Raw genomic sequence first — 11,770 nt, 5'->3', positions numbered from 1 at the left:
TATGTGTATGTTTAAATCTTTTAAAATCTTGAACCATAACATAAAGAGGTAAGTGCACAAGACAAAAATATTTAGCTAAGTAATTTACCAGTAAGTCAAGAAGTGGACCATGACAGCACTTCAGAAAGAGGTCCTGGATTTGATTTGCTAACATTTCAATGAAGACTTTTGCATCTGTATTCATGAGAGATATCGGTCTGTGGTTTTCTTTTTCTTTTCCTTTTTTTTTCCTATCTTTTACTCTGGTATCACTGTAATAGCAGCCTTATAGAGTGAATTGGGAAGGATTCACTTTTATGGAAGTGTTCATAAATGATTGGTATTATTTCTTATTTAAATATTTGATAGAATTAACTAGTGGAATCATCCAGGTGTGGGATTTTCTTTGTGGGAAGATTTTAAATTATTATTATTTTTTCTATTTCTTTACATATTACAGGCCTGTTGAGATTTTCTATATGTTCTTTATTCAGTTTCAATAATTTGTTCTTTCTAGGAATTTATCTGGTTCATCTTAGTTGTCTAGTTTGTTCATAGTAGTGCCTTACAGTCCTTTTAATTTCATAAGGTTTGGTGGTCAAGTTCCTCCCTACTTTTGTAATTTTGGTAATCTTTATTTTCTCTCTCTCTCTTTTTTTTCTTTAACCATATCAGTCAACATTGAAGTTGTCAAAGAAGTTATTGAAGTCAAAGAACCAGCTTGGGGTTCATTGATTTTTCTCTGCTCTCTTTTCTTTTTCTTTGGTTCTGTTCTCTTTATTATTATTTTCTGCTTCCTTTAGCTTTAATTTGCTGTTCTTTTCTATACATTCAGGCTTAGAGAGTTCTCTTTTTCTCAAATACAGGCATGTAGACCTATAGATTTCCCTCTAAGCACTGCTTTAGCTGCATCTCATAAATTTGTATATGTCATGTTTTTATTTTCATTCAGTTCAAAATATTTTTAAATTTCATCTTGATTTCTTCTTTGAACTATGGATTACTTAAAAGTATATTGTTTAATTTTCAAGTATTTGGGAATTCTTACCAAATATGTGTTTGTTATTGATTGCTAATTTAATTTTGTTAAATTTGGAGAACTTATTTTGTATTGTTTCAGTCCTTTTAAGTTTGTTGAAATATCTTTTATAGTCTAGTATATGTGCTGTCTTGGAGAATGTTCCATGTGTACAGGAGAAGAATATGACTAAATTGACATCAATCTTATGAAATAGTAGCTTGTAGGACTTTGTATGATTGTATGTTTCCTGTGTTGAGGACATAAATGTGTCTACCTAAATAAAGGATAAGAATCTGAGGAACAAAAGAGATGGACCATATGGTAAGGGATATTGCTTATTTGCAGATCCATCCTTTGTTCTCTACTATATCTTGTGAAATTAATCTCTAGGACTTTACCAACCAGCTTATTTTCCCTCTGACATCCAGTTATCACCCTCCAAGTGATTCTGATGTGTACTAAAGTAGGTATTTTGAGCCGTAAGAGAAAGATATGCACAGGCTTGATAACCATTTGGAGCACCAGCAGAATATTGGCGTGTTGGCAGGAGAAAGAGAATGAAGCTTTTTTTTCTGCCCTCTCTCATGATGTTGTTATGAGCCACAATCGGGAAGGTCACAGCTCCTGTCGGGCAGCTCTCTCCGTATGACAATCTCTCCAGCTTCTGGGGATGTTGCTTTCCCACACCCTCAGGCCTAAGAATGGCAAAGGATCTTGCATTGTATCTAGCCCAACTAACTGCAGTATCCATTGTGGTTTTCCTACATCCTACCCAGACTTTTATAAATAATTTAATAATAATTCTCCCAAGTTGAAAGTGCTGTCTGTTTCCTGCTTGGACTCTGAAAGATGATCTAAGTAATGGAGAGAAGTAATAGAATGTAGAGATTTTGTTTGTTTTTTGAGACGGAGTTTCGCTCTTGTCGCCCAGGCTGGAGTGCAGTGGTGCGATCTCAGCTCACTGCAACCTTTGCCTCCTGGGTTCAAGGATTCTCCTGCCTCAGCCTCCCAAGTAGCTGGGATTACAAGCATGTGCCAGCACGCGTGGTTAATTTTTTGTATTTTTTTTTTTTTTTCAGTAGAGACGGGGTTTCACCATGTTGACCAGGCTGGTCTCGAACTCCTGGCCTCAAGTGATCCGCCTGCCTCAGCCTCCCAAAGCGCTGGGATTACAGGGTGAGCCACCGCGCCTGGCCGAATGTAGAGGTTTTGGTTCAAGGATATTTTACCTAGAAATTTGGCAGTGAACAGATTTATGAGAGACATAGATGGTAACTTTTAAATAGACGGTGTATTTGTTTTATATATATTTTTGAAAAAGGAGGTCTGTGCATCTAGAAGGCAGAGAGGAGTCAATGCATATAGAAAGAGACTGAGATGCTGGAAATACAGAAATAACGGTAGAATGAGAAGGAAGATAAAACCAAGAGTACAAATTTAAACTTGTTGGAAAGGAAAGAAGTGCTACTTAATTTTCTTAAACTGAGGGAAAGAAATTGAGGATAATTTTATTGATTCCTAGAGTAGCAACATCAACATCACTGGGAACATGTGATAATACAAATTCATGGGCTTTGCCTCTACTGAATTGGAAACAGGAAGGGGTGCCCGGCAATCTGTTTTAACAAGCCCTCCAGGTGATTCGGATACGTGCTAAAGTAGGTATTTTGAGGCGAAAGAGAAGGGAAGATATGCACAGGCTCGATAGTCTAGAAATATTTTCTATTGCATAGCAAGGGTTGGTAACTGGAAGAGAGTGGAAAACATTTGCTATACAAACTTAAAAGCCTTAAATTTTGTTTATTAGGAATGGGAGGCTTTTCATTAATTGATAATGAGAGGGAGATGTTTGTAAGTTGCTTACTATTAAAATCTCAAATATTTAGTACAGCTTAAAAAGATTTTGAGATGTCTTTGGGTGCCCTAGAGTTCACTAATTTTAATTATTTATAACTTCTGTGAAGAAAACAAAAGTTTTTCCAGCTACATGGTCTGTTAGAAAATAAAAATTAAATGGCTCAGACTAAGAAGATGTGGAAGAAATTATAGGGCCAGACTCATTTTCAGATACTCAAAACAAACGATCAGTTGCCAAGTAATCAAGTACCTTTTTTACATTCTTTCACCTCATCCATTCTTTATACATTTAATTATGTGTGTATGTGCTTTTTAGATCCCATACCTGTATAATTATCTTTAATTTTTAGTTTAATTTGCATAGGAAATGAATAACTGGATACATTAAAAATTTTGTTTTGATTATGAATTTATACTGCAAGTATTTTTCAAAATACTTACAATGTACTTTAGCTGTGGTGCTCAACTTAGGATGTATTTGCAGCCCCTAAAAGATAAAATCTGATAAATATACTCCTTTTAAAACAAAAGGCATTTGAAATAGCACATATCCATAATACCCTTTTAAAAGACTGAAAAAATTAAGGGAATTTCCAATCCCTTCACCTTCATATGAAAAGGTGAAAGAAAGATTTGGAGATAATATACCTTTCTCCTTTTTAGTAGAGACTTTGAGGCACAATTTAATGTGCAGTAGGATTTCTTTCTTTCTTTTTTTGAGACAGAGCCTCACTCTGTCTTCAGGCTGGATGGAGTGTAGTGGCGCGACCTCGGCTTACTGCAACCTCTGCCTCCTGGGTTCAAGCAATTCTCTTGCCTCAGCCTCCCGAGTAGCTGGAATTACAGGTGCCCACCACCACACCCGGCTAATTTTTTGTATATTTTTAGTAAAGACAGGGTTTCGCCATGTTGGCCAGGCTGGTCTCGAACTCCACGCACCTCAGCCTCCCGAAGTTTGAGGATTACAGGCGTCAGACACTGCTCCCGGCCACAGAGCTCTCTATTCAGTATAAAGATAGCATAAAGGTATTTTCAAATAAACAAAGTCTCTAATAAACCTACCATATACCCTTTCTTAGAGGCTGCTGGAGAATGTACTCCACTAAACGAAGAAATAGATTGAGAGGAAGACCTGATATCGAGGAAATAGGTAATCAACAATGAAGAGAAGGAGAGACAAGTAGAAATCTCAGATTAATGGTGAAGGGAAAGTTTATCAGACCCAGAGAGCAAACCATTCTGGTGAACTGGGGAGAATGGCAGGCCCCAGGAAGGTGACTCGAAAAGTGACAATTGGGTTATCTGACAGGTTTAACGATGGAAAAGTGTTGAGAGAAGCTTTACAGAGCTGTCAAAAGTTGGCTAAATATTTTATCCAAAGAGTTAAAAACAAAAAGCAACATATTAAATTATCTAGAGGTAGCAGAAAACAAAACAGAAAGAAGAAACCATTAAAAGAGTGCAAGTTGATTGGCTCTGGGCTGAAGTCAGGGGACAACTGTTTTGGTTTAAATCTTTTTTCTTTTCTTTTTTTTTTTTTTTGAGATGGAGTTTCTCTCTTTTGCCCAGGCTGGAGTGCAGTGGTGCTATATCGGCTCACTGCAAGCTCTGTCTCCCGGGTTCATGCCATTCTCCTGCCTCAGCCTCCCAAGTAGCTGGGACTACAGGCGCCCGCCACCATGCCAAGCTAATTTTTTGAATTTTTTAGTAGAGACGAGGTTTCACCGTGTTAGCCAGGATGGTCTCGATCTTCTGACCTCGTGATTTGCCCGCCTCGGCCTCCCAAAGTGCTGGGATTACAGGCATGAGCCACCACACCCAGTCACGACTGCAGTCTTTGTTAACACAGCAGTATAAATTCATATTCAAAACAAAAAAAAATTTAATGTATCCAGTTCTTCATTTCCTATGCAAATTAAACTAAAAATTAAAGATAATTATATAGGTATGGGATCTAAAAAGCACATACACACATAATTAAATGTATAAAGAATGGGTGAGGTAAGAGAATGTAAAAAAGGTACTTGATTACTTGGCAACTGATCGTTTGTTTTGAGTATCTGAAAATGAGTCTGGTCCTATAATTTCTTCCACATCTTCTTAGTCTGAGCCGTTTAATTTTTATTTTCTAACAGACCACGTAGCTGGAAAAACTTTTGTTTTCTTCACAGAAGTTATAATAATACCGCGCCCAGCTGGTTTAAATCTTTTAAAACAAGGTTTGACTTTTTCAAGCTCTGCATATATATCACTTTTATAATTAAAAAAATTTAAAGTATAAGCTCTAAAATGTAAGTAGATAGATGGCTTTATAGAAAAGAGAACCAGACATAATTCTTACTCATATAAATGTTAACTTTATGTTTTTAATATTTTAAAATTTGAGACTATAAAGCAATTACCTTGAACTTAGTTAACATGCAAGCTCTAATTATTATTATTATTATTATTATTATTATTATTATTATTATTTTCTTTTTTTTTTTTTAGACAGAGTCTCGCTCTGTCGCCCAGGCTGGAGTGCAGTGGCGCGATCTCGGCTCACTGCAAGCTTCGCCTCCCGGGTTCACGCCATTCTCCTGCCTCAGCCTCCTGAGTAGCTGGGACTACAGGCGCCCGCCACCAGGCCTGGCTAATTTTTCTTTGTATTTTTAGTAGAGACGGGGTTTCACCGTGTTAGCCAGGATGGTCTCGATCTCCTGACCTCGTGATCCGCCCGCCTCGGCCTCCCAAAGTGCTGGGATTACAGCCGTGAGCGACCGCGCTCGGCTGAAAGCTCTAATTATTAAGCCAAATTTCCTTCATGAAATAAGCCCCAGTTTTTGAAAATGCATCTATTTTCACCCTATCTTATAACTACCAGATATTTTAAGACAAAGTCTGCGATGGAATATAAAGTAAGCCTTTAGGTTATTTACATATATTAACTCTTGTTTTATAGCATTTAAACTTGTTTCATATTTAAAACTTATTTAAGTTTTAAATTAAACTTATTAAAGGTAAACCTTTGAATCCATTATGATGTGTTAATGCGAAGAGGCATGTAAGTTGTATATTCTGATAAATGACCAATGTAGGCCATATAGTTAGAGCACATTTGAAGAAATCCAATTCTAATACACATTAATTGCTGAGTTGTCTTAGCAGCTGGACTTATTAACTGGCAAGTTAACAACTAGTAACTTAGCAACTTACTAACTGGACTACCATGTAAAGAAATTGATTTAAAGGAGGATAACAAAATTAGTTAAGATTTATGAATGCTTGTGCCAATTTCTATTAAAGTTAAATACTTTTAAAATTGGTTTTAATTTTGTGCTCCACTGGACTTCAAATTCTTTGGAATCACAAGAACATATGAATCCTAAACGTATTCTGAAAGTAGAAATTAGAGCTTTTTTACAAGTTACTGGTTGTTCAGAAATCCAAATTTTCATGCTTTAATATAATAAAAGTTTCCAAATATGGCAACATTTTTAGATTCATAGCAACAGATGGCATGTTAGTTTAGAATTTAAATTGTGAATTGTATTACAATTATTAGCTTAAGACTGGAAAGGTAATAGCATTTTTGTATTCTGTATGAAAACCTCTAAAGTTTCTAGGTGGACAAGTGTTTAAACAGAATTAACACAAAGTACATTTGTCAATTGTTTTTTATTTTCATTGCATCGTGACCTGAATAAGCTTTAAAATGTTACAAAGTTAGAAGGCAAAGTAAAATTTGGTTTATTTTAAACCAAATCATGAAATTCAGATTAAGCTAAATTTTGTTCCACTCTAGTGTGTAGCTTACTCTAATGACTCAGTCTTAAGTCTGGGAAACAGTAAGTTCTAGTATATTATAAAAGTATATTTTATGTACTTTAAGTAGTTTAGGACACAGAAAAAGTAGTATTCACCCACTGTAAAAAATTAGTAATAAAATAGCAAATAAAAGCATATTAATTTAGTTCATTTGATTGGTAACAATTTGTGCCTGACACTGTTAAAAGCCTTAGTTTAGAACCTTTAAAAGTATTCTATAGGTAGAAATTATAGATGGTTCTATTAAAAATAAGTATTGTCTTATTTATTTTAGCTCAGTTTGGCATTTCTTATATTTAGAGAAAATAATTTTAATTAATTTTTAGAGAAAATGAGGAGTTTTAGCCATTGTTGTGTCTCTAACGTGCTGTTTGTTACATAGGTTACTGACCTCAATTAAATCATTTAAAGGGTTTAAAAATATCTTTAAAACAAATTACTAATTACACTTATCACTAGAAAGAGAAAAACATTCAAGTTTTTTAACTCTAGTGTTCGTTTTATTTATAGCCTAGTGAAATGGAAATACCAGCAAGCTGGAATGGAAAGCTGAATTTTCCTTTTCCTTATAAGAATAACATAGCAGTGACCAGCCTAGGTTTGCTCATTACTCTATGCTGTGACTATAAAATAGAACAGTGTATTTGACTCATTTTGCAATTGTATTAAAAATGAAAAAGTGATATGATGAGGCTTTGTGTCTTCACCCAGATCTCATCTTGAATTATAAACCCCATAATCCCCACGTGTCAAGGGAAAGACCAGGTGGAGGTAATTGGATTATGGAGGCGGTTTCCCCCATGCTGTTCTCGTGATAGTGAGTTCGTTCTTACGAGATATGATGGTTTTACAGGGGGCTCTTCCCGCTTCGCTCGGCACTTCTCCTTTTTGCCACCTTGTGAAGAAGGTGCGTTGTTTCCCCTTTGGCTTCCGCCATGATTGTAAGTCTCCTGAGGCCTCCCCAGCCATGCTGAACTGTGAGTCAATGAAACCTCTTTCCTTTATAAATTACCCAGGCTTGGGAAGTTTTTTATGGCAGTATGAAAGGGGACTAATACAAAGACATTTAGAAAAAAAAGGCACTTAGTATGATATTATGTTAGGTGTATGTCCATAACTTTGCATCTAAAACCATCATTGTCATCATCATCATCATCATCATCACACTCATTACCAAGCGTTTGTTTAAATATCTAGTTGACAGAGGGTAGAGTTCAAGGACAGGGAATAGAAAGTGTAGGGTCTGTCTAGAAACTGACATTTGAGCTAAGAGTGGTAGGAAATAATGTAGTATGTTACATGAGCCATGTACAGACACAGGCAATAGGTACTAAAATTAAAACCAGCGACTGAGATTTAAAGAAAGTAAATTCTTTGGTATATGTTAAATCCTATTTTGTACTAGTTAAATAGACACCCCCCAACCAATGACCTTGTTTTCTTAAACTTTTCACAGTAGTACACTATTCAAGGTGAAAATCAAGCTCATTAAGGGATGTTTGTTTTTTTTAACAGCACTTGCCTTCAGACTTGGTGTAAACTTTCTACTTCTCTAGGGTTATCTTCAGAAACCAAAGGAACACACACACACACACACACACACACACACACACACTCACACTTTACTACTTTTGCCATAGGGATTATTACCTCTATCGGTAAGATGCTATAATGCCATATAAATGAACTGTTCATTGAGTTCTTGTGACATAGTAGCACTTTGGTGCCTTTCTTACAGGATTATATGGTTTATAGAAATATCAGGTATTTTAAAACAGGGCAGAATGTAAGTTCAGAACAGAGTTCCCTAAAACATATTCTATGGAATTATGGAATGCTGGCTATAAGGAGTGCTGATTGTGTTTTTCTAAAAAGCCTTATGGCTAAATTAATTTGGGAAATGCTGGGTTAAACAATTACTTCTTTTAGCAGTACTTCTTGGAGGCTTTAGTATGCTAATATGCATTGAAAACTGTCAAGAAGGGACTTCTACAACATACTTTATTTTAAAATGTACACTAAATTCACTTAACCAATGAAGGCTTTTGTCAAGGAATTTATTTAGGGACTGAAATTCTATGGCAATTATTCTGGATCACAGAGGCATCAGCATTAGATATAAAAACTCTGCAATTAGACAAACTAGAAAGTCATTTTACCTTTTCGAGTCCCAGGTTCTTATCTGTACATTAGGAATAATAATTTCTACCTAATGAGAGTATTACAGATTGCTAATTCATTAGAGATTGCTAGAACATAGCTTATAATAAACACTAAAAGATGCTTACTTATCAAAACAGCATTAATTGCTGAAGCAGAGATCACAAGTGCAGCCAATATAATTAATTCCTTGACACAATGTATGTAACAAGCCTAGACAAGCTGAGCAGTATGTCACCAAAGAAAACTGTGATGTAACAGAAAAACTTGATCCATTTTATATTAAAATATAAATTTTACTTTGGTTTCTGATTCGTATTTTTGTGATATATAATAGAAATACTTTTGGGGGGTATATGTGATATTTTGCTATATTCGTATAATGTGTTATAATCAAGCCAATATAATTGGAATATTCATCACCTTAAAAATTTTTCTTTATGCTGGGAACATTTGCATTATTCTCTACCAGCTGTTTGGAAATATACAATAGATTATTGTTTACGATAGTCACTCTACTGATTTATCGAACACTAGGTCTTAGCTTATCTATTTAACTGTATATTTGTAACCATTAACCGACCTCTCTCTTCATCTTTCCCCATCCACACACACACCCTGGCCAGTCTCTGGTAGTTATTATTCTACTCTCTACACCCATATTAACTTTGTTAGTTCTCACCTATGGATGAAAATGTACAATATTTGTCTTTCTGTGCTTAGCTTATGTCACTTATCATAATGACCTCCAGTTTCATCCATGTTGCTGCAAATTATAGGATTTCAATTTTTTTTAATTTCCAGATTTTTTTTTCAATAGTTTTTGGGGAATAGGAGCAGTGTACACTGTACCCAATGTATAGTCTTTTATCTCTCAGCCCCCTCCCACCCTTCTCCCTGAGTCCCCAAAGTCCATTGTATCATTCTTACACCTTTGTGTCCTCATAGATGAGCTCCCACTTATAAGAACGATGTTTGGTTTTACATTCCTGAGTTACTTCACTTAGAATAATGGTCTCCAACTCCATCCAGGTTGCTGCGAATGCCCTTATTTCATTCTTTTATATGGCTGAGTATTATTCCATGGTGTGTGTGTATAACACACATATATATATATAACTACATATAATCACATATATATCATATATAAAATGTATCACATATTTTTTGTATATAAAATGTGATATATATATCACATTTTTAAACCACTTGATTGATGGGCATTTGGGCTGGTTTCATGTTTTTGCAGTTGTGAATTGTGTTGCTATAAATGTGTGTGCAAGTGTCTTTTTCATAAAATGACTTCTTTTCCTCTGGGTAGATACCCAGTAGTGGGATTGCTGGATGAAATGGTAGTTCTACTTTTAGTTATTTAAGGAATCTCCACATTGTTTTCCACAGTGGTTGTACTAGTTTACATTGCCACCAGCAGGGTAAAAGTGTTCCCTTTTCATGACATCCGCACCAATGTCTAGTATTTTTTAAAAAAATGATCGCCATTCTTGTAGGAGTAAAGTTGTATTACATTGTAGTTTTGATTTGCATTTCCCTGATAATCAGCGATGTTGAGCATTTTTTCATGTTGGTGATTTTTATATCTTCTTTTGATAATTGTCTATTCATGTCCTTAGCCCACTTTTTGGTGGGATTATTTTTTTTTCTTGCTGATTTGTTTGAGTTACTTGCAGATTCTGGATATTAGTCCTTTGCTGGATGAACAGTTGCGAAAACTTTCTCCCACTCTGTGGATTGTCTGTTTGCTGATTATTTCTTTTGCTGTGCAGAAGCTTTTAGGTTTAATTAAATCCCATATATTTATTTTTGTTTTTGTTGCATTTGTAACCATTAACCAACCTCTCTTTTCATCTTTCCCCATCCACACACACACCCTGGCCAGTGTGTGGTAGTGATTATTCTACTCTCTACCTCCATATTAACTTTTTTAGTTCCCACCTATGAATGGGTTCTTGGTCATAAACTTTTTGCCTAAGCCAATGTCTAGAAGAATTTTCCTGAGGTTATCTTCTAAAATTTTTATGGCTTCAGGTCTTAGATTTTCTTTTTGTTATTATATTTTAAGTTCTAGGGTACGTGTGCACAACATGCATGTTTGATATATAGGTATACATGTGTCATGTTAGTTTGCTGCACCCATCACCTCGTCATTTACATTAGGTATTTCTCCTAATGCTGTCCCTCCCCCAGGCTCCCACCTCCCGATAGGCCCCAGTGTGTGATGTTCCCTGCCCTGTGTCCAAGTGTTCTCATTGTTCAATTCCCACCTATGAGTGAGAACATGTGGTGTTTGGTTTTCTCTTCTTGTGATAGTTTCCTGAGAATGATGGTTCCCAGCTTCATCCATGTCCCTGCAAAGGACATGAACTCATCCTTTTTAATGGCTGCATAGTGTTCCATGGTGTATATGTGCCACATTTTCTTTATCCAGTCTATCATTGATGGACATTTGGGTTGGTTCCAAGTCTTTGCTATTGTGAATAGTGCTGCAATAAACATACGTGTGCATGTGTCTTTATAGCAGCATGACTTATAATCCTTTGGGTATATACCCAGTAATGGGATTGCTAGGTCAAATGGTATTTCTCATTCTAGATCCTTGAGGAATCACCATGCTGTCTTCCACAATGGATGAACTAATTTACAGTCCCACCAACAGTGTAAAAGCATTCCTATTTCTCCACATCCTCTCCAGCATCTGTTGTTTCCTGACTTTTTAATGATCACTATTCTAACTGGCGTGAGATGGTATCTCATTGTGGTTTTAATTTCCATTTCTCTGATGACCAGTGATCATGAGCATTTTTTCATGTGTCTGTTGGCTGCAGGGATATCTTCCTTTGAGAAGTATCTGTTCATTTCCTTTGCCCACTTTTTGATGGGGTTGTTTTTTTTTCTTGTAAGTTTGTTTGAGTTCTTTGTAGATTCTGG

Source organism: Homo sapiens, chromosome 6 (assembly GCF_000001405.40).
Source record: "Homo sapiens chromosome 6, GRCh38.p14 Primary Assembly".
NCBI lineage: Eukaryota > Metazoa > Chordata > Mammalia > Primates > Hominidae > Homo > Homo sapiens.
The sequence above is the reverse complement of the archived record's forward strand: the minus strand, read 5'-3'. Positions refer to the sequence as shown.